General features: G+C 39.1%; 1 protein-coding gene across 9 annotated transcripts in view, besides 5 other annotated features; it reads left to right on the top strand.

The window, feature by feature from the left end:
* Positions 1,466-2,070: an enhancer, noted in NCBI's record as "H3K27ac hESC enhancer chrX:15872970-15873574 (GRCh37/hg19 assembly coordinates)". NCBI's record gives its function as "activates a minimal SCP1, AML or CMV promoter by ChIP-STARR-seq in naive H9 embryonic stem cells {active_cell/tissue: H9 hESC(naive)}" and the evidence as "EXISTENCE:reporter gene assay evidence [ECO:0000049][PMID:30033119]".
* Positions 1,466-2,167: a biological region, named in NCBI's record as "H3K27ac hESC enhancer GRCh37_chrX:15872970-15873574".
* Positions 1,688-1,797: a silencer, noted in NCBI's record as "silent region_20676". NCBI's record gives its function as "represses an Ori minimal core promoter by ATAC-STARR-seq in GM12878 lymphoblastoid cells {active_cell/tissue: GM12878}" and the evidence as "EXISTENCE:reporter gene assay evidence [ECO:0000049][PMID:35858748]".
* Positions 1,888-2,167: a silencer, noted in NCBI's record as "silent region_20675". NCBI's record gives its function as "represses an Ori minimal core promoter by ATAC-STARR-seq in GM12878 lymphoblastoid cells {active_cell/tissue: GM12878}" and the evidence as "EXISTENCE:reporter gene assay evidence [ECO:0000049][PMID:35858748]".
* The window catches only part of AP1S2 (adaptor related protein complex 1 subunit sigma 2), a 29,008-nt gene continuing 8,028 nt past the window's right edge, over positions 2,104-23,083 (top strand). For 8 of the 9 annotated variants that reach the window (NR_160933.1, NR_160932.1, NM_003916.5 and 5 more), the window contains exons 1-4: positions 2,104-2,229; positions 4,393-4,571; positions 10,906-11,014; positions 11,401-11,538. Coding sequence is in view for 7 of the 9 variants with exons in the window: in NM_003916.5 (NP_003907.3) it covers positions 4,393-4,571; positions 10,906-11,014; positions 11,401-11,538 (426 nt within the window). In the remaining 2 variants the exon portion in view is untranslated. Of the gene's footprint in view, positions 2,230-4,392; positions 4,572-10,905; positions 11,015-11,400; positions 11,539-16,325; positions 16,421-23,083 lie in introns of all 9 variants that reach the window. The other variant, NM_001440865.1, reaches the window with a different exon arrangement.
* Positions 2,388-2,677: a silencer, noted in NCBI's record as "silent region_20674". NCBI's record gives its function as "represses an Ori minimal core promoter by ATAC-STARR-seq in GM12878 lymphoblastoid cells {active_cell/tissue: GM12878}" and the evidence as "EXISTENCE:reporter gene assay evidence [ECO:0000049][PMID:35858748]".

Below are 23,083 nucleotides of genomic sequence, written 5' to 3'. Positions count from 1 at the left end.
AGTTGTGCTGTTGCTATTAGAATTTAATAAGCCATTCCTTCTGCTAAATTAATAAGCAGCCAAGATTATGTAATAGCTGCTTTCAGCTGCTAATTATTTTTCCCACAATTCCTTCCCCTCCCTACCCCTACCCCCACCTTTTTTTGGCTAGGAGCAGGAAAGGAGACTGCCAGTATGTCATCAGCAAGTCTCCCGTCCTCATTTTCAGAGCAACATTAGGAGCATAATCAGAGTTTAAACTTGGAAGTGGCTATCTCAGGAACCTTCAGGATATAAGTGTTTTGTACAGAAAAAGAGAAAAGCAGCATTTGGATTCAGAGGGCGAGTTTTCATTGTGTAGCATTAGAGCTATCTTTTAACTGGTTAATGGCATCTGTTTCTTGTAGTAAGAGAGAAATGGGACATTCGAAAGCACCTTTGGGGCATGACTAGGTAGGGAGAAATCTGGTGGGGGCGAGGGGGACCTAAAGAACTACAGAAAGCCAGCTCTGTGCCGTGTGTCGTCCCCTTTCTTTAATATTCCAGTATACATTAATCATACATGTTAGTAGGAAACTTTCCAAGCAGCACAGTAGTGCTTGAAAAGGGGAAGTATTACACATTTCTTTTTGTTTTGTCATACAAAAGCATTTTTTAAAAGCCCCCAAAACTACTGTCTTAGTTTCATAGATACTATAATGTACACAAAAAGAATATAATCCCTAATAAAGGATTCCTTTACATTGATTACATTTAGCTTCGTGAAAATTTTAGCATTTCTTTTTTTACTTTAGGCCATTAAAAAAATTCTGGCGACTATACTTAGGAACCTCTGCAAAAGGGGCATGGCCCAACAAAAGCAATTTTCTCGCTTCCTTTGTAAGAACCTAGGTGACTCGGGTAATGAATAGCATTTCGATATGGGAAACCCGTGGCTCTTCAAGGAAGGTCACCTAATCCCGTGGGACTCCCCTTTCCTTATCTGTAAATGACTAGATGATTCATCCATTCTATCATTCAGAAAATTATGAACATCCATTATGCCCAGGCATTACGCTCAGCATTACAGCTCTTAACAAATTTATCATTTTATAGTCTTTATCAGTCAACTCACATTTATTAGTTGTTATATACCAGGCTGTGAACTAGATTGAGATGCAAAATGAATACAATTTAAGGTGTGCTAAATAAAGGCTAACGGGCATGTGGGTGAAAGAGGGAATCGCTCTTACAGGGTTTTAGGGTGAGGCTTCATAGATGTGACATTTGGGAGCAAGGACATGCCAGGCACAGCAAGTCGTCGGCAGTGCTAAACTGGAACCCAGGCGGCTGGTGGGGCGACCCAGTGTGAAGGAAGCGGGATCTCGAAGGTGAGGTGCTGTCCGGGCTTTTCAGCCGAACGGACGGTAACTCATCCAGTCCGCAGCACCGAGGATGGGCGAGGCGAGCCCAGGGAACAGACTCCCGCGAAGCTCGGGGCGGAAGGTGTCTGGGCTAGGGCTGGAGCAGTGCAATGGGAAGGAGAGGGCGGATTCCGGACAATTTTGAGGCAGAATGATAGCAAAAGGCCCGTGAATGCGTGACGAGCTCCACAGAAGAGCTGACTTGTTTTTCCAGAGTTGCAGCACTCCCTCGTCTCCTCCCACCCTCCTCGTCAGCCGTCACACTTCACACTTCCTCTCTGGGGACACAGAGAATCATTAGAGCTCGAACGTGGCTCTTCGCTGTCCGGAACTTCCCTGCCCCGCACCACCCGCTAGGCTAAGGACGCTGCAGAATCCCGTCCTCCTATCATTAAACAAGCAGGACAGCCGCCCGCGCGCGTCCCGGAGGCACCTGCAAGAGCGCGCGGGCGCGCGGGCGCTCGGGCCCGGCAAACGCCGCTTCCGGGTCACGTGGCCCGGCTTCCGGTTCGCACCTCCCCTCAGCGAAGAAACCTCCAATCGGCTGCCTTGGACTCAGCGGTTACCCGCGCTGCCTCCGGTGCCGCTGGCGACCGCTGAGCCGCTTCCCGCGCGTCGCCTAGCCCGCCCCTCAGCTCGCCGCAGCCCCGGCTCCTCCCTCGTCCGGCCCCCGGGGCGGGGTCTGTCAGCTTGCCCTCCCCTCTCCGCCTAAGCCTGCCCTATGCCAGCCGGGTGTCCTCCCCACAGCACCACGGCTTCTCTTCCTCAGCACGGCGACAGGGGCTTCCCCTTCGCCGCCGCCGCCGCCGCCGGCCAAGCTCCGCCGCGCCCGCGGCCCGCGGCCGCCGTAAGTCCCTGGGGGCGAAAGGGGGCGCCGGGGATGGGGGAGAGGGGGAGGGAGGACTGGGCGCGCCCCCCGCCACCCCGCGCGCGCCCCGACGACCCCACCCCGAGCCTGCCCGGCCCGCCACTGGGTCGCCGCGCCCGCAACTCACTTCTCTCCGTGTCCGCGCCCTCCGCACCACTCCGCGCCGCGCCCGGGGATGTGGGGGCCAGTCCCGGGCTCCGCGACAGCCTCGCGGCACCTGTGGTTCGGGAATCGCCTCAAGTTTTGCGGGGCGCTTTCGGGAGGGGCCGGGGGCGGTGGCGGCCGAGGACTCTTGGCGCCCCCTGCGCGGCGGCGGATGCCATTGTCTGCTCCGCTCCTTGCCTGTCACCTCTCCCGGGCTTGGTCAGTGATGGAGTGTGGCCACGGGAGTGGGGGGGAGGCACCGGCGACGGCCGGACCCGAGGAACGCTGGCCCCGAGCCCGCGCCGCGGCTGAGCCCATTGTTTTTAATGCCAGTCTCGAGGAATTGTGGTGCCCTGTGATTTGCGGCAAAATCAAAGCGTTGGTTTTTAACACGAGGGAAGGAATACTCGTGCTTTGCAACCGGGTTTCGTCCCATGTTAGGACATAATTTATTTTAAGGAGAATACATTGTTTTTTCGTCCTGCAAAGTGGTAGGGCGGATACAGGACCCTGCTCCAGACAGCCTTGAGCCCATACTCTTCGCAGGCAAACCCTCACCCTTTCTGGTCACCAAGATCTAGGAATACGAGGTCCATTCTTTTCCAAGTTCTGGTAACGGGTTTGCAGTAAATGCCCAGTTGATGCTTCACTTCCTGCCCCCTTCGAATGCCGCTATCTTCAGGACTTGCACGGGAGGCACTTTGGTATCACCTAATAATGTCCTTATATTTTGTTCCCCTGACGCATTTTAAGTGAGGTAATAAGACCATTTTAACTTTACTAAAGTTGAATTGCCACGTCATACATTTCTAGATATCTTGTTGATACCTTTTTGGGTGGTTACAAAAAGCGACGATAATTTCTTACCGAAATTTAGGGCCCATTTTTATTCTACATTGGTTCTGTAAATTTCCCCTCCCCGTGTTCAAATTCAAGATGGTGTGGTGAATCTTGAGAATCATGCTTGAATCTTATTTGCAGTAACGCTGTTAAAGGAACTTAACAGTGATTAAAAGAAAAAAGGATACCTATGTGAATTCTGCCTTTAAATTACCTTTGTAGAAACAATACTTCTGTTTGCAGTTGAGATGACCAATTGGATTACAAAAAGCTTGGCGTTAAAAATGAAACATGCAGACTAATCAACACATTTGCAGATCACAAATAAATACATACAAATTAGTTTAAGTATAAAACACACTAGAATTCAGCATCCATTCCATCTGTAGATACTATTTTTTATTTTAAATGAAGTATTTCATGTAATGTTTCAATGCTGAATCTTATTTAATAAGTGTAAATCTTATTGTGGCCTTTTAAACGTTTGTTTTCTTTTTCATAATACATTAACTCAGTTCTAGATTTTGTACATATTTAAGTTGGAATGCTTTAAAAGTCAGATGAAAACATACTTTTTTATTAATGAAAATTTGTATTTATGGGATTTTTCAGTTAATATTTTGGATCATTCTGTTTTGCTTAAAATATGCCATCATAAACTGAGGAGAACATTCCAAGACATAAGCTACTGTCTGCAAGTAATTCACCCTGGAACTAGAACGGCCTCAGGATGAAAAATAGCAGGTCTTCTGTTTCTTTCAAAAGTACCCAAACCAGATGATGTCTACCATTCTCTTTTGATGCATATAGAGAGTGCGCAATGTATAGCACAGGTAGAAAATAGTTTCTTAAATTGAAAGAGTGATCTTTATTTTTCTTCAAAAATTTCACTTCAGCTTATTACCCATTTTTCTTTTTTCTCCTGCACACTCCCCTTCAAACTTAATGTGGAACAAGGTGGGATTGGAAGGTTTGCATCTAGAGGAAGATCTGTCCAAAAGAATTTCTTGCTATTTTAATTGGCATAGAAATATTGATGGCTACTAATCATTTGTCATGTAAATGCCCCATCCCCCAAAACTTCTCTGTGAAACACATAATCTTAACTTTATTGATTCAAAGTATTACATGTAATCTTGATTTTATTTATCTTAACAGATGCAGTTTATGTTGCTTTTTAGTCGTCAGGGAAAGCTTCGACTGCAAAAATGGTATGTCCCACTATCAGACAAAGAGAAGAAAAAGATCACAAGAGAACTTGTTCAGACCGTTTTAGCACGGAAACCTAAAATGTGCAGCTTCCTTGAGTGGCGAGATCTGAAGATTGTTTACAAAAGGTATAATTTTTGTTTGTCAGAAAGGTGAAATAGAATCAAATGTTAGGTCATTTAGGAAATTGCAGACTTCAGTGATGACATTTATAAATAACGATTAATAAAGATTTAGATGAAATAGGTTTAAGGTAAAGCTTTGTGTTTTTAAAATAACTAGTGTTTTGATTGATAATTACTGAGGCTGAAATGATAAAGGCAGGGAAATCCTTTGAAAACTAGTTATATAATTAAAGGCATAAATGATTATTCATGCTTAATCATCTTTATAGAAGAGTTTAATGAATTCATTTCATTGCAGGGGAAAGTAGGGTCAGTATTTTAAATTGTGTGAGTAATTCTCTGAATTGAGACAAGTACAGATAGAGTCTAATTCTTTTTCCCCGAAAATCTATAAAGTAATGACTAATATTTGACATGCCTTTTATCTGATTTTTAGAATCTTACTCACGTGTAAATACCTTGACTATGTAGACTATTTCAATCACATAGATGTTTTAAAAACTTTGTGTATACATGAGATGTGTTTGTAAGTAGTGTTTATTAACTTTTAAGTACCCTTGTTGCTATGGTGGGGGTGCAATTAAATATGACAGATAATTTTTCCAAGGACAGATTTTTTAAAAATTTGATGTTACAAAATGACTCATAGATTGGCTTTTAACACTAAAATTTTTTTAATGCTATACGTCTTTATTTTATAAATATCTGAAACCCTGAATACCCTAAAATAAATTTCTCAAGATTGTTCTAAGTAGGTTAAAAGAAATAAACTTTCTTCTTTTACAGAACATTTTTTGAGGGGACATTTACTTCATTCCCCATTTGTTTCTTTTTGAATAATTTGCTGAATTTAAGATAAGAGCATTTCTGCATATAAAAAGTTCTCTTGTGTGGGGAGTATACATGGAAGTAACAGTATGGGATACAATGAGGGTGGGAGAGAAGTCTGGTTTTCTTCTCAGCTTCCCTTTATTGCACTCCAAATATGGGTTGGATATTTTGTCAGGGAGATGGCTGGGAAGAAATGGAGATTACAAGACATAAGTTTCTTAAATACTGAGGACTCCTCTTTATTATTGAATGATCTTTGGTGATTTTGTATCTTTGGGTGATTTTGTATCCAGTGTTTCGTTTGGTCTTATTAAAGATTATAGAAAAGTCATATCATTTGAGAGGTGAGAGATGTTTTACAGTGATCTAGTCAGGTGATTTTGTTTTGTTTTGTTTTGTTTTAAGCTTTTTGCCCCATGGGTAGAACCTTAAATAAAATGAGTGGAAGTGAGGCTGCTCCTTGTGAAATCAGGAATGAGGATCCTGTATCCTGGCTCACTTGGCCTTTACCCCTCTGCACAGGAGACAGTTCTTGAGTTTGAAAACTGCCGTTGTTGATCAAACTTCAATTTTATAAAGAATGCAAATTTGGGAGAAGTGACTTGTCTAGGGCCATATGCCAGTTAGTGATTGACATGGGGCTGCAACTCAGATCTTAAGCTTAGAGGCAAAGATTTTAAACAGGGCTGGAAAAAGATCAGGTTTACATATCTTAAAAGATTGAACTGAGACAATGGATGAGGGCAGGAGGGGCTGAGACTGGCACCTGCAGGATCAGTAGGAGACTATGTGAGATCCTGAACCCAGGCGCTAGAAAGGAGGGCTGTCACTAAATAGCCATTATCAAATAGGTAGGTTTGATAAGACTTGGTCACCTCTAGAAGTGGGAAGAATATGGGAGGTCGAGGCAGGAGAATCGCTTGAGCCCAGGAGTTCAAGTCCAGCCCTGGCAACTTAGTGAGACCCCGCCGTCTCTACAATTAAAAAAAAAAAAAAAAATTAGCTGGGCGTGGTGGCATGCACCTGTATTCCTAGCTGCTCTGGAGGCTGAGGTGGGAGGATTGATTGTGCCTGGGAGTTCAAGCCTGCACTGAGCCCTGATTGGGCCACTGCACTCCAGCCTAGGTGACAGAGTGAGACCCTCAACGACAACAACAAAGCGGAGAGAGCAGCGAAGGAAAGGGAGGAGTGGGGTGATCTCCACATTTCTGGTTTGCTGATGGGGTACAAGGTGAGCTAGATAACTCGGCTTATTTTGGGGTGAGTTGATTTGGGGATGTCTATGTGACTTTCATTAAGAGAAGCCTGATTTTCTGGTGGGATGTGGTTGGTGTAAGTATGGAAGTCTGGGGAAAATAAGACAAAGTATTAGATCACCAGCATTCAAGTGGCAGGCAAAGGAGATGAAGAAGGGACCTTCAGAGTGGAATGAGAAATTTCACCAATGCCAGATGTTGCATAAAGTTCAATGAAAGTGAGGAAGGAATCTGGTAGATTTTACAGTGAGCATTTCATATAATGCCCTTTGCCAGAACATTTTCAGTGGAATAGTGGAGATAGAACTCTCGATGTAATGGGGCGAAGTGTGAAGAGGTGGAGAAATTTAAATAGCATGTGTAGACTATTTTGGGGAACTTTGCTGTGAAGGACAGGAGACGAGGTGGTAACCACTCATAGACATAGGAGTGGGGGACAAGGTTTTTAAAAAAGAAGGTGTGAGAGGCTTAAGCTTATTTCTAGATAGGGGAAGGAGTCCCCCGTGTGGAGGAGGAAAATACCAGCAAGGGATTCAATCCCAGGAATGGGCTGTTATGGGAAGAAAGGAAAGCACTGCTTGGTGTTCATGCACATGTCACTCAGTCTGTCCGTGTTGAGCCACTACTTTTTCTTTTGAAAGCTACAAAGGGTATCTAATCCAACTCTGATACTTATATCAAGCACCTTTAAATAAAAGGTGGACTTTAAAAAAAACAGCTTTATTGAGATATCAGTCATATACAAAAGGTGGAATTTATCAGTTCTTTCTCTATACGTTCCCCCTTCCATTTCATACTGAAAACCTCATCTACTCTACCACTTACGGACATATTTTTTGTTGGTATAAACAGGTGGTTTGTTTTCCCTACTGCTGGAAGCGAAGAGCTTTTTAAGCAGGAGAATTACTGCTTAGCGCCTGAGAAATTCTGGACTGGGACTTCTGCTGTTCATATCAGCAAGTGATTTTTGTTGTTTTTGTTAAATTATCTCATCTACATTCTTCATCCTGAGTATTTGGCATACAAATTCCCCCTTTTGAGAGGGGAATGATGGATAAGAATAATATTAGCTGAAAAGACAGACTGAAAATCTGGGGACTTAAGTTCTGTTCCCTTTGTAACGTTAGCTAGTTTTATGACTTTAAACAAGTCACTTTGTTTCCTTATCTCTAAATGCTCTTGAAGATCCCTTCAAGACAGAATACTGTGCTTTTTTGATTCCTGTTTTGTGTAGCATTTTGTGGAAGAGTCACTGGATTAAGGTCTTTTAAAATTAATTTAAAAACATATATATCTCCAAATTACTAGCTTGATAATTTGTTAAAGAATACTTACTGATTTTCTTTACTAACAAAAGAATTTTTAATGACATACCAGTGGGTATTGAGAACACTTCAGCTACATTCACCCACAGTCAGCTGATATTTAGCTGATATTTAGCTGACTGCGGAGAAGTCATGTGTTTTGAATATAAGAATAGGCACTTTCAGATGTTCTCTGAGTGCCAGTAATTAGAGTAAGCCTTAATCCACTGTGCTAAAAATAACCAAACATACCTTTCTTCTTACTAGTCTATTATTAATTTTACTTCAGATTTAGACTTACAAATAGGCACTAAGAGAACAAAATGAGCTCATTATTGATTTTTTTAAAACCATTTGGTCCTAAATATAGGAAGTACACTTCAGGTTCTCTTGGTAATCTTTTACTAAATCAGTATGGCATATTTTACTTCTCTTCAAAGCTCTTAAAATATTGTTTCGAGCACATTTTAATTTTTGCCAGGTATGGGATTACGTTAATGCAATTGCTGGCTATAGTTTTTAATGTAAAACTTGGGCTCTAGAGTCAAATTGCTGTTCCTAGGCAGGTTACTCAAACCTGGGTCTCTTATCAATGCAAATAATAATGGTATCTCATGGATACGGTTGTTGTGAGGATTAGAGTGGTAAAATATGCAAAAGCCTTAGCTAACATTTAATGTCTCATGTAGGGCGAGGATTCAGTGAATGGTACTTAATTATTATGTTTCTGTTTTTTTCCTGCCCTAAGCTTTCTGGAAAGAGGTACATTATTATCCTGATAGCTATCTGTTCACCTACACCAAAGAATTCATTAATTTGATTATTCTTTTTCCATTCCGAGTGAAAGTAAACATTACTGGCTGGGGCTTAGACACATTGTTTCTGATGATTTTTAAATTAATGCTTCCAAGTGATTCATGCAGTTTAGGACCTTTGACTAGTGTTTAAGTGCTTTTTATTTGTAAGTAAAGAGGCAGTACTGTGGATAAGGAGCGAGGATGGTACGAGCATTAGCTTGTTTAATAGTAGCATGAGGAAATCTTAAATAAAAGGAATTTTACTTGAAACTGTTAGTAAACTTTGTATAATAAATTATTTAGCATTCTGTTCCTATCAGCTAGTCATATCTGGTTTTTAATCTACCATTTTTATGTCAGTCCCTTTAATGTTTAGTTTTCTTAAATCAGGGAATCTTATGTGTCATTTATCAGTTTCCTCAAATTCAAAGTTCTATTTAATGAGCATGGGTTAGGGAGGATGGAGAGTTGGAATACTCTATTCTCTTTTAAATAGACAAACAAAAACAGTAACGATGGGAAAGAGAGGGAGCACTTTGTTAAAGTTGGCATTGATGCCCTGTTTTGTCTTCCATGACTTATTCCCTTCACAATGATGATAAATGAACACATGTGAATACCTCCTCTCAATAAGACTGCAGTAGCTCCACCATTTTAAATAACTTACTGAGTGTGGAAGTCAGGTAGAGTAGACATGCACAAACTCATGATATATATGCCAAGTGAGTTTGTATGATACAGTGGAAAAAGGCCTGGAGTTAAGGTCAAAAGATCAGGTTTCTTATCCCAGTACTAGCACTTGTAGGCGCTGTACTCTTAAGCCTCATTTTTTTTTTGTCTTTTTTTAATCTGTGATCAAGGATGAAAGATAGTACTTGCTGTTGAAAACATCAAATAAGATGAAATGGTTTTAATAATGAAATTAATGCTGTTGTGTGAATACTAGTTATTTTCATACTAAGGAGCAAGAATTCATTGAGTCTCAAAACAGGTTGTGTTATTCTGTATACAGTATTATTTTACATTAATGCTACGAGCAGTAACTGCCCATTGTGTTTTCTAAAAATCATTTAAGTGATCTTCAGTGAAAATTATAATCTCCACTGAAATGTTCTGTGTTTAGCCTATCTTAGGTTTTTATTTTCTTTCTTTTCAAAAGCCTTAAGTACATGTAAACCATTTTAAAATGCCCTTTTAATCCTCCTCAAAGGACTTGCTATGCCTCAGGGTTGAAGTTTTGCTTCCTTGGGTCAAGCATAACATGATTCCATATGCTAGAATCCTAATTTGAAGGAGAATATAAGTTTCCCAACCTTATTCCCTCTTCTAGGGTAAATAAACTACACTTCAGTTCAACAGTGTAGAACTTGGTAAATTTGAGAACAGGCCTCTGTTTCCCTTAAGTGATAGGAACTTTCTGTTCTCTTTCTCTAACTTCTGTAATAACGTGGAGCTGTTGTTCTTTTCGTATGGTTTATTCTGCAATCCTAGAAACCTTTTTAAAAACAATTCTATTCTGTTAGAAGTCAAGAGCATAGTTACCCTTGGGGGTGGGAGGTTGTGACTGGGAGAGGGTAGCAGAGGAGTTTCAGGGTTCAGTAGTGTTCAGCTTCTTGATGTGGGTGCTGATATATAGTTGAGTTCACTTTGAAAATTTATTGAGCTTGTAGGACTTAAGGTCTTCTCTGTGTATATATTATACATATTCCAATAAAATATCCCAAAATATTGACCTCACCTTGGCATTATCCTCAACAAGTCCTCCTTCAGTTGGAAGGTTTGTTTTCTTCTCTGTACTTACAGTTTGAATTAATCTGCTATATATTTTGTTTTAATTAAGTAAACTTAGGAAAAACCTGGGTCTGCTATGTTTTAAAATGCTTATAGAAAAGAACCTGAAAGGAAGAAGGGCAAAATCACTTATTCTAAGTGGTATGATTATTTTGATTTTTTCTTTATACTTGCCTATGCTTTTCAAAATTTCTGTTATGCGTTTATTACTTTTGTAGTCTATGAGAAAAATCTGTACTGTCGTGAAAGAAGAAATAAACTGTATAAACTTGGGGCTTTTCATAATAGGATATGAAAATATATTTAGAAAACATCATTATAGGATAACAGTTTTTTTCACATTTGTACTTTGTTACAGATATGCTAGTCTGTATTTTTGCTGTGCTATTGAGGATCAGGACAATGAACTAATTACCCTGGAAATAATTCATCGTTATGTGGAATTACTTGACAAGTATTTCGGCAGTGTGAGTAGTATTTTATTTTAGGAAATTGAATGCCATAGTATATTTTGGAACCTTTTCTCTAACAAGTTTATTTTTTGGTTGTCTTGGGGATTCTAACCGCGGGAGAGGGTGGGAATGACTATTTATTAGTAGAAATTATTAAGTTGTCCATATTGGGAACATGCAGAGCCCAGTCTTATTTAGCTTGTAGGAATATGTTTTCAAGTACTTGAGATTTGGAAATTAAGCTTACTTAAACCAGTGATACTTAGTCATTTTTAGAAAGAGTTAAGATTGATTCACTCTAGTTCGATTTTATTCACTACCTGATAGTGAATAAGCATCTTCTGCTTCTGCAAGTTTTAACAATTTTTTCTTTTCTTTTTTCTTTTTTTTTTCCTTTTCAGGTCTGTGAACTAGATATCATCTTTAATTTTGAGAAGGCTTATTTTATTTTGGATGAGTTTCTTTTGGGAGGGGAAGTTCAGGAAACATCCAAGAAAAATGTCCTTAAAGCAATTGAGCAGGCTGATCTACTGCAGGAGGTAAGCTACTTATTCTCTTCACTAGGCACTAGCATGTTTTGCTCTTGCTGGGGAAGTCTCATTCATCATTCTTACAGTTTCAGAAAGTACTCTGAAGCATGCTTGTCATGTAGTGTCCATCCATGTGCAGTTTATTGACTGGAATATGTGTCAGTCACGTCAACTCAGTTATCTATGGATGGATGGTTCAGTTTGGAGATGGTCTATCGGTCAGGCCTCTTCCCAATGGCCCTTTTTGGACCCTAAAACACTGGAGTCTAAACCTTTAGAGGACAGACTATTTGAAGAAGGGAAAAGATTGGCTGAAAGTAGCAGTAAGTTGAGAACTCTCCATCTATTGCTTCAAATTGTTTAAGATAACCCCCTTTTTCATTAGTGTAGATAATCAGGAGTTGACTATGAGATTATGACATTTTAATTCCAAATTGGCTCATATTTTTACCTCATGTCCATTAAATGCAAAAGTAGCCAAGCAAATGATAGTGTTTTCTAATTATACTTTTTGTAGAAACTTCCAGGTTTTTTTTGTTAGCAAAACTAAACAGTATTTGCATTTCTCTTTGCTCTTCTTAAATAACAAACCATGTTCTGTCAAACTGCATTCTTGTCTTACCTCCATATCCCCAGATGTGTAACTCCCTTTTCTTTCTAATTACCATAGTCATCTTGGGTTAATTGTGCAGTTGATGCTGATGTACCTTCTATTTCTGAAGCTTAACATTTCATAGATAAGGCTACCTTTTTCCAAAAACTTAATGATACCTTAATTCAGATACCAAATTGAATTATGCTTTAGAGCTAATTGTGATTTTTATCATATGGAAAGCTTACAGCATGAGAAGTGATTAGTAAATATTGAAAAATGAAATGTGTTTTCACTAAAGTAGTTGTTAAGTGTGTGTTTGCATGTATGTAAAAGTCTTGAATATTTTTGGCTCACTGGTTCATTTTCCAGAAGCATTGAAAATATGATTTTGTATTTCCAGTTTATTTTAGTCCCTTCTTTGTTACATACATGTTTATCAGTTTGTTCTTGTCTTTTTTTAGTCACCAAAGGTGACTTTCAGTCCCATTTTTTAGCCTTGGAGGCATTCAGTTTTAAGGGAGTGAAATAAGGGGAGAAGAGTAACTTACTTTCTCCATTTTAACTTCTTAACTCTTGGACTCTGTGAGGAAGGGAAAGCTGTTTGAGAATCTCACTGCATCAGTCACTGACTGGGACAGTTGTGGGGATTGCTTGAAGTTGAGATGACATCATCTGGATAGACATCTACTAAATGTGAGACAATGCATTGTACACTTAATGATCTTGTAGTTATCAGAAGAGTGGTTAAGGTGCCTGCAAAAGTGAAGTATTAGATTGGCAGCCCTGGTGCCATCTACTCTTCAGTAGTGAAATGAACACAGACCTTTTGCCTTGTGTGTACAGTTTGCCACAGTGGTTTACCAATTGATTGGAAATGTTATTCTGGAGGTTTGTTTTTAATATCAGGTGCGCTGACTATAAGCATATACTCTACTGTTGTAAAATTGGTTTTTAAAGTTAGTATCTCCTTATTTTGCTGTTCACTAATCAGACTTTTTTAAAAATTAGGTCAAAACCAGGATTAGAAATTGGGAATTTTTCATATAGGTCTTCCCTTGATCACTTTCATATTTTGTCACAGATCTGTATTCTGCTCTGTCAGAACCTGGCATTTCTTCCAAGTTTTTCTATCATTTTCTGATTAATTACATTGGCTTTAAAATGTATTTAAAGTTATTGAAGTTCAACTTTTAATTTTAATATTTTTCCTGGAGAGTAATTTTTTGTTTGTTTGTTTGAGATGGAGTTTCGCTCTTGTTGCCCAGGCTGGAGTGCAATGACACGATCTTGGCTCACTGCAACCTCTGCCTCCCGGGCTCAAGCGATTCTCCTGCCTCAGCCTCCCGAGTAGCTGGGATTACAGGCTTGCACTACCATGCCTGGCTAGTTTTGTACTTTTAGTAGAGACAGGGTTTCACCATGTTGGTCAGGCTGGTCTCGAACTCCTGACCTCAAATGATCCGTCCCCCTTGGCCTCCCAAAGTGCTGGGATTAAAGGTGTAAGCCACTGCACCCAGCTGTGCCTGGATTTTTAAATGCTACTGGGAAATTGCTATGGGCCTTAGAATATGACAGCAATGTTAAGTTTACCTTAGAGCATATATTCAGTATTTAATGTACTAGGGGATAAGAACATTATTGCAGATCCACATTTATTTGTGTGTGTATATGTACATATGTATATATATTCCCCTATGGGAGTATTTTAATAGTTAATATTGTCCTTCTGTTTGAAGTACTATTTTTATGTCTTTTTTTTTTTTTTTTTGAGATGGAGTTTCGCTTATCACCCAGGCTGGAGTGCAGTGGTGCAATTTCGGCTCTCTGCAACCTCCGCTTCCTGTGTTCAAGCAATCCTCCTGCCTCAGCCTCCCAAGTAGCTGGGACTACAGGTGCACACCACCATGCCCAGCTAATTTTTGTATTTTTAGTAAAGACAGGCTTTCACCATGTTGGCCAGGATGGTCTCAAACTCCTGACAGGTGATCCACCCACCTCGGCCTCCCAAAGTGCTGGGATTACAGGCGTAAGCCACCGCATCCAGCCTATTTTTATGTCTTTAATTGGGGAAAGTAAGTGCAAAGAGAAAAGCATAGGATGAGTATGGTTGGTCCCATGTAAAATTTTCCTTACCCCCTTGTAACCTTTGTTTAAAATAAAGAAATGAGTACTGTTAATTACAGTTCCTTGTCTTTAGAAGAAAGCTGTGGTCCTGTTTCTCTTCTATGACTACTTTTACATTGCTTTGTACACAAACGAAACTGAGTACCACATTGAGACATTGTCTATTTAGCAGTCTGAGTGAACCATTTTTCTTAGCCATGTAGGTCTTGGGGAAGCAGTAGGTGGTGGTCCATTCTGAATTTAGAGTGAGAATACATCGTAGGTTAAGGCCATTATGAAGCCAAGCTCAAGTCTGTGTGGAGCAGTAAGGCTTCAGGTTATTCTGTTCTCTTCATCAACATACTCTGAGAAGAAATGCAGGAATGGCAAGATGCATGTTTCCTAAAAATAGATTCATTTATATTTTTGATGCATGATACAAGTTTACATCTGTGGGAGAGTATTTGAATATTATGTTCATAAAATAGCAAGTGGAATAAGAGAAAAAGCACTCCACAAACTGCTGGAAAACTTTTTGTTTTGGATACCATGACAACAAAAATAATTATGATGGTAACTAACGCTTGAGTGCTTGTATGTGAGGCCCTGGGCTCAGCAGTTTGCTTTAAGCATCCTGTGCTAATCCTCAAGACACCCTGTGAAAGGTTAGAGGTAGCCTAATGAGAAAGTGGAATCTCAGTGAGGTTCCATGACTGGTCTGAGGCCACCTGGTTAGCAACTGGCAAAACCAGGATTCTAAACCCAGATCTACTAGGCTTCACAGCTGTGTAAAATCTTAACCACTGTGCACTTCCCCTAACCCCAGTTATGTATTGTCTTGGTATATATATTTTAAACGTTCTGTTTTAGATATGAACTTCTTTGTTTCTCAGTCATATAGTGAGAAATTCATAATTCTCCCAGAGGTTTTTCTGTGTGGAAAAGAGTAGATTTCCTAAGACAGTGCCATCTTTGACTTCTTAGACTGCAAATTTTTATTGTCCAGATTATCAGCAGTTGGAATTTTTTATTGGATATGTAGATATAAATAATATTTTTCAACCTATTTCTTGTTGGATTGATCAAAATGCCTGGATTTATAATAACTTTTTTGGTCTTATAGTTTGGGGTATAGCATTCACTTAATCAATTTCATGAAATGATTTTGCTTCCAAAATTGTAAATATAGCTGTGAAGATCTAAATTCAGACTTACATTTGTAGTAGAAGTCCTAATTGGTCAATTTTAATCTACTTTTTCATGTGTCATTATTTTTCTGTTTAGTGTCAGGTCTTTTACTTGAATTGATTATTTCTAAGCACCAAAGATGACTTTGAACTTATCATGTACTTATCTGTTGGCTTAAAGGTGTATACACATCTCAATGATTTTGATTTTTTTTTAATTTGTGAAATATACATTTCTATCCTTAAGAATGCTTATTTTCTTCAGAAAAATTAAAAAAAAATTTCTCTTACCCAATTTGTATAAACACATAGTTTAAGGTAGTCCTTCATTTTATAGCCAAATAGGGAAGAGGGTCAGTGGATACAGATTTTCTGTTAGCATATTACAGTTAGTAATAAAAATGTAACATTAAATGTACATTCAAATAATAGTTGCTAAAATATTAGCAGATATTGTGATTAGATAATAAAGATATCTTTTTTATTTTACTTCATTACTTGGTAAATAAAGGATTAGTTTTGACATTTCTAGACCAAACTTCATGTTTATTCCTTTTGGTGTTTGGTTGTATGAATACATAATTAGATTTGGGGGTAAAGCCCAGAAATTGGCCCGTTATCCATTTTTTAATGTTTGGCTGTCTTAACATGCCACTGGTACTAAAGATGATTCTTAAATTATTAAAGTACAACATGCTGAAATTGCTAAATTGATATTCTTTGCAATACTTGGAATACTTTTCCCCACCACCTATTTTAAGCTAGATTTTTGGAGGGATATGGTGGGGGGTGGTGATGTAGTTGGATTTATTTAAACACACACATATATAATGACAAAGGAAATAATAGTATGGCTTTTTTTCTGTAAAGTCAAGCACTTACCAGTTTTTCTCTGCTCCTTAATTTTATAGAGCCAGAATGAAGAATGGGGAGGTTTGTCTGAGGATATCTTATGATAAAGAGCAGTCTAAGGCTTTAGTCCCTTTGATCCCCAACTTATTTATTGGTAACTACTAAATTTACCATTTTTGTGGCATGGATAAAATGGAGTGCTATGCAAATACTGTTGCACGTGAGATGATTTCTAAGTCCTTGCTTGATCCGTGAAGATCAAATAGTTAAATACTGGGCATTTGGGCTTTAACCCTTAGCGGTTGATGCATGATGGTGTTGATTAGTGCTTTGAGATGTGTCAACCTTTCTTTTTTATACTAACAGCATCATTTTGAAATTTGTGGTGTTGTTTTTCTTTTGAGCTTTGTTTGCTGTTGGTATTTTTTCTCACTAAAGTAATCTGTGAAATGCAAAATAAGTGAGGTACCAAAAGCAAGCATAATACTCATGAATTTGCTTTTACTTTGAGATGATCCACTTTATGAATAGATTTACTGGATTTGCAGTTGTTTATCTGCCTCATCTAGAAAGTGGTACTCTACGGAGGATTAGCGCTGCTAAAATTGATTTGTTTTAGTGCTGGGGGCTGCATGATATATCTTAGTACTATGCTATATTTTTGTGAAAGTAATAATCTGTGGGACTGCATACAAATGGAAAGGTAAGAATCTTAGGAGAAAAGTGATTTCTTTTAAAAAATGAAGCTTTTGTAACTTAAAATTATTTTAATAAGTACTTTTTGAAGTATTGAATAACATATCTTTTAATATGAAGTTTTGGACTTTTTAAAGGTCAGCTCTTGATATAATTAAGAATATTTGGGCTGAGCACGGTGGCCCAAGCTTGTAATCCCAGCACTTTGGGAGGCCGGGGCAGTTGGATTGCTTGAGCCCAGAAGTTCGAGACCAGCCTGGGCAATGTGGTGAAACCCCATCCTTACAAAAAGTGAAAAAAAAAAAGACTAGCTGGGCATGGTGGTGTGTGTCTGTAGTCCAAGCTAATTGGGAGGCTGAGGTGAGAGGATTGATTGAGCCCTGGAGGTCCAGGCTATAGTGAGCCATGATCATGCTACTATATACCAGCCTGGGTGGCCACAGAACGAAACTTTGCCGAAAGGAAGGAAGGAAGGAGGGAGGGAGGGAGGGAAAACAGAAAAAAGAAAGAATATTTGGGCATGCTAGTCCAACTTGAGAATATCTTAAATTGTTTTAAAAAAAGAGATGCTTCCAAATATGTACAAGAATGTCATTTAACAGCAAAAAGCATTTTGATATAAATCCTCTTAGATTTGCTTAAATAAGACAAACTCGTGTAACTCCTTTGTAATTACTACTGTTCATGTTAAAACCTTCAAGCCTCTTTTAAAGTTAACAAGACTATAGTCTTTTATTGCCAGCGTACTTTAGTTTTTTTATAGGTAAACTTAATCAGGGTTTATTATAACAAATTCTGGACAAATGAAGTTTGATTACATTAATGCTTGAAATGGAAGTGCTTGAAAGGAAGGGCAGAAAGCAGGACAAATGTTGCCTTTCATTTTACATTTAATAAGAAACAATTTGGCCAGGCATGGTGGCTCACGCCTGTAATCCCAGCACTTTGGAAGGCTGAGGCAAGCGGATCACTTGAGGCCAGGAGTTCAAGACCAACCTGGCCAACATGGTAAAACCCCATCTCTACAAAAAATACAAAAATTAGCTGGGCGTGGTGGTGCACACCTGTAGTCCCAGATACCTGGGGGGCTGAGGCACAAGAATGGCTTGAACCCAGGAAGCGGAGGCTGCAGTGATCCGAAATCAGGCCACTGCACTCCAGCCTGGGCGACAGAGTGAGACTCTGTCTCAAAAATAAATAAATAAATAAAATAATAATTTGGCCAGTGTCCTTACTCTCTGGTTCTCAGGTTGTAGTCATTTTGCTTTATGTGTTTTTGAGCCTTTTTTCTTTTCATACTTTTCAAAATTTTGAGGATTTTCCGCTTGCTATTTCTATTCTATTCTTTTCTTAAATGCTGATCCTGACCTAGTAATTTGATTTCATGAGCCCTAGGGTTGGAACCTGCACAGGGACCTGCAAAGGGAATAGTCTGTGGTGTCGGTGGTGATTTTTTTTTTAATTAAAAAATACTTTCTGAAAAATGTCACGTTTGAGTCCTTTTTTCACCTACTGACATTTTCTTTTGTTTCCTCTGAGGGCCTTTTTTTAAAAATAAAAATTCCCATTCTGGAAAAATTAGCAAATACAGGCAAACACACTAGAATATAATCTTACCCACCAACTAGAGCCAATTAGATTAACTCAGTGGTTCCCATGGAGTGGGAGTGGTGCAGTTGTGCCCCTCTAGGGGACATTGGGTAATGTTTGGACACATTTTTGGTTGTCACAATTGGGGGTGCAGTGCTACCGGCATCCAGTAGGTGAAGACCAAGGATGCTGCTGAGAATTCTGCAGTGCACAGGACAGCCCCCTTAGAACGCGGAATTATCTGGCCTCAAATGTCAGTTGTGCCCAGGTTAAGAAGCCTTGGTTTAATTTAACACTATGGAGTAAAGATTCCATTTACATTTATAGACTGCTATATCTTTTCAATATTATATGTAGACCACAGTATAAATAAGTGGCTAAAAATTAATCAAAAATGCAAAAAATCAAGAAAGGATAAATGTGCTTAAGAACATACAAATAGCTATAAAAATCATTCCTAGGCCAGGCGCGGTGGCTCACGCCTGTAATCCCAGCACTTTGGGAGGCCGAGGTGGGTGGATCACAAGGTCAGGAGATCGAGACCAACCTGGACAACATGGTGAAACCCTGTCTCTACTAAAAATACAAAAATTAGCTGGGCGTGGTGGTGCGTGCCTGTAATCCCAGCTACTTGGGAGGCTGAGGCAGGAGAATCGCTTGAACCAGGGAGTCGGAGGTTGCAGTGAAGCGAGATAACGCCACTGCACTCTAGCCTGGCGACAGAGTAAGACTCCGTCTCAAAAAAAAAAAAAAAAAAAAGTCATCTCTATGATTCACCAAAATTACCTCTACATAATGACCAGTTACTGGGGAGATAATCTATGGTTGACTTTAGAATCCACCCTACAGCAAGGCTTGTAGGATGTCACTCTATAATTTAATTTCCTCAACAACAGCCAAATCTGTTAACTTCTATTAAGGTAATTGAGTTTTTATGTGGAAACTGAATTGAGTATACCCTGCAGACAGAACACCTTTGAATTTTCTGCCAATCTCCCCAGCCACTTTAGGGATTTGTTAATTTCTTAAAGGAGGAATAGTTCAAATGACCAGAATTTACATATATAGACTTTTGTTGCATATATAGACTTTTTGTTGTTGTTGTTCTCTGGCATCCTGTTAGCCTTAAAGGTTTTACTTAGTGAAGATATTTAGTAGCATTTGAGTATTTGAAATTCTGTGATTCCAAGAAATCTTTTACCTTTGAAAAACCCTAATTTAGGGTATTCCAAGGCAAATACAATACAGCATGTCCTAAAACATGCTTAAAATATTTCTTTGCAGTCTAAAATTATATTTGCTAGCTGGGCACAGTGGCACACTTCCATAATCCCGGCTACTTGGAAGGCTGAAGTGGAAGGATCCCTTGAGCTCAGAAGTTTGAGACCAGCCTGGGCAACATAGTGAGACCCCTCACTCTTAAACAAATTATATTTGCTAAGTTAATTATTCTGCTTTTTTTTGTTTGTATATTTGTTTTGAGACAGGGTCTCACTCTGTCACCAAGGCTGGAATGCAGTGGCACCACCATGGCTCACTTGCAGCCTTGAACTCCTGGGCTCAAGTGATCCTCCCACCTCAGCCTCCCGAGTAGCTGGGATTACAGGTGCACACCACCATGCCCAGCTAATTTTTTAAAAATTTTCAGTAGAAATGGGGTCTCGCCATGTTGTCAGGGCTGGTCTTGAACTCCGAGGCTCATGCAGTCCTCCCACCTTGGCCTCCCAAAGTGCTGGGATTACAGGCGTGAGCCACTGCACCTGGCCTCTGCTTTTTTATTTTAAAAGCACAACTAACTGGTAGATAAAGTGATTTGTCTTTAGTATTTGATAACTAATGGGTTTTAGAGTGTTATTTATAAGATGTAGTAAATTATCCTCATCATTATTTTTAAGACAAATTTATAAGACAAGTGTAATAGAAATAGATCAACAGCACAATAGAAAAAGATGGCAGAAAACATGAATATGTAATTCACAGATGAAAGCAAAACAAATGGTCCTTTTATTAAGGGAATGCAAAGTTAAAAATCAACTAGACCCTTTTTTGTTTGTTTCTTCTTGGATTGGCAAAGAGGAGCACTTAAAAGCTGTATTTTGTTTTGGAGGATTAGTTTGGTTATGTCTACTAATGACTAAATGTGTACATACATTTTGACCCATTAGTTACACTTCAAAGAATTTTATCCAACAAAAATGTACTGAGACACATTGCTTAGTATAATAAGCCATTGAAGCTTACCCAAATATTCATCAATGAGAAATAGGTTAAGAAAATTATAGTACAACCATACATGAAACTGATGTAGCTGTAAAAGAAATGAGATCGATTTTTTTTTGTAATGATATGGAAGGATACTCAAAGTATATCAAGTGAGAAAAGATCTAGGAACAGGATATTATTATTATTATTATTTTATTTTTTGTAGGGACAGGGTCTCACCATGTTGCCCAGGCTTAGGAGCAGGATATTAGCTAACTCGTGTTACTTCTGAAAATCTTTGAAGCTCCCCCTGCTCTTTTTTCCAGAAGTGTAAAAACAAGCATGTATTTAGTATTACACATTTTTAAAAAATGAAAAAATGCTGCTGTGTGAATGAAAGAGTATACATCGTGTTGCTCCAGATGGTAAAACTAGAGTAGAATTTACTAAAATAAAGTTTCAGCACGTAAAGTAAAGCACTTCTCTGCTCTTGGCCATTTTAGACACTAACCATCTGGAGCAACCATGTAACTCTTGCCACTCATAGCTAACTTAATGTAAAAAAAAAAAATCGCTTGACTTTCTTAGCACTTCACAAATGCTTGTAAGACTGACACCAGGAGCCCTGTCATCTAAAAGGCACTTTATAGAGTGCTTTCAATTCTTCTGTTTTTTCATTCATTGCTCAAAATAGATCGTAGTGAGATAAGATAGTCTCTGGCCTTCTTGGTCTTTGGCACAAGGAAGAGGGTTCCAGAGTTGAGAGTAAGGACTTTGCATCCTTTGCCATAGAATTTGATTAGGGGCCATAAAAAGGACCATTGTGTTCTAGAATGTGAAGGACTAAGCATACCACTTTATAGTGCAAGGAATAAGTGAAGAAGTCCTTTTATAAGAAAAACTGCAGTAGAGCAATAACTTGAAATTACACTTATTTATATTTACTTTTCATTAAATGTAAATTATTTTCTTTTACCACATTGTACTACTAGAAAGAGAATCAGGAGTTTAGGCATTCAGTCATAGATATTCGATACCATTGATTTACTTAAGCACTTCTCATGTCAACAAGACTTAAGCCTGCAGATAATTCCTATTTTATCAGTGTTCGTTATAGCTTCCCTGTTGGTTTTACTTGTGAGTCATAAGCCTAGTATGGTGAATATCTAGGAAATTTCACGGTAACAGGGCTTGTCTTAGGTTTTGAGAACAGGTGTAACTTGACTTCTCTCTGCTGTTTGTCATCCTACACTTCCCACTACATCTGGTCCTTTTTGTAGGGTGTTGAGAACAACATTTTTCTTCATGCAGGGGAAAGTGGAAGTGCATGTTTTCTAAGAAGGACAAATAGGAATAGAATAAAAGAAAAAGTATATTGGGGCTGGGCATAGTGGTTCACTATGTAATCCCAGCACTTTGGGAGGCTGAGGCGGGTGGATCATGAGGTCAGGAGTTCGAGACCAGCCTGGCCAAGATGGTGAAACCCCATCTCTACTAAAAAAAAAAAAAAAATACAAAAATTAGCCGGGCACAGTGGTGGGTGCCTGTAATCCCAGCTACTCAGGAAGCTGAGGCAGGAGAATCGCTTGAACCCGTGAGGTGGAGATTGCAGTGAGCTGAGATCAAGCCACTGCCTTCTAGCCTGGGCGACAGAGCAAGACTCTGTCTCAAAAAAAAAAAATTATATATATATATATATATATATATATATATATATATATATTTTGGAAGGGAGAATGGGAGTGGAATCAAAAACATTGGTCTCGGATGAGAAGAGTCTTTCTCATTGGTTATGTGGTGATAATGGGGTAAAGCTGTAGACTTTTTTTTTCTTTAATTCATGAGTAAGATGAGCAAAATTGAGGAAGTGTCATTTTCTTGGCCTTGAGAAATGACATCATCTAAAGGAGAATCGTTGGGACTGGGGAGAAGGGGAGGGGTGTATAGCTTGAGGACAGTGTGAGGAGTTGGCAGTAGACTTGGTGGGGAGCAAATTAGTGAGGAGCAAAAAAGATTTCCTGGGATTGAAAGCCCGTTTCAGGTTGAAATAATACATTGTCATCCTTATTCAAAGAATAGGTCTCCAGAGAACCTGTACTAAGGACAATACATGGTTTATAGTTGTACAATACAACTGGATTAAAAAATTTTTTCTCACTGTTTTCATTCTGACCTTTATTCCCACTTAATTGAAATCACTGGGGTTTTAGTGTTTTAAGAAACGGATAGTTTGCTGAGTATTATATGTGACTATTTCCTACGGGTGCCCAGGGGAAGAACAAGATAGTAGGCCTAGGCCTGCACAGGGTCCCTTGTGTGCTATGACAGA

The sequence above is a fragment of the Homo sapiens genome, chromosome X (genome assembly GCF_000001405.40).
Source record: "Homo sapiens chromosome X, GRCh38.p14 Primary Assembly".
Classification (NCBI taxonomy): domain Eukaryota; kingdom Metazoa; phylum Chordata; class Mammalia; order Primates; family Hominidae; genus Homo; species Homo sapiens.
Note: the sequence above shows the minus strand (reverse complement) of the source record. Positions and strands in the feature narration are given on the sequence as shown.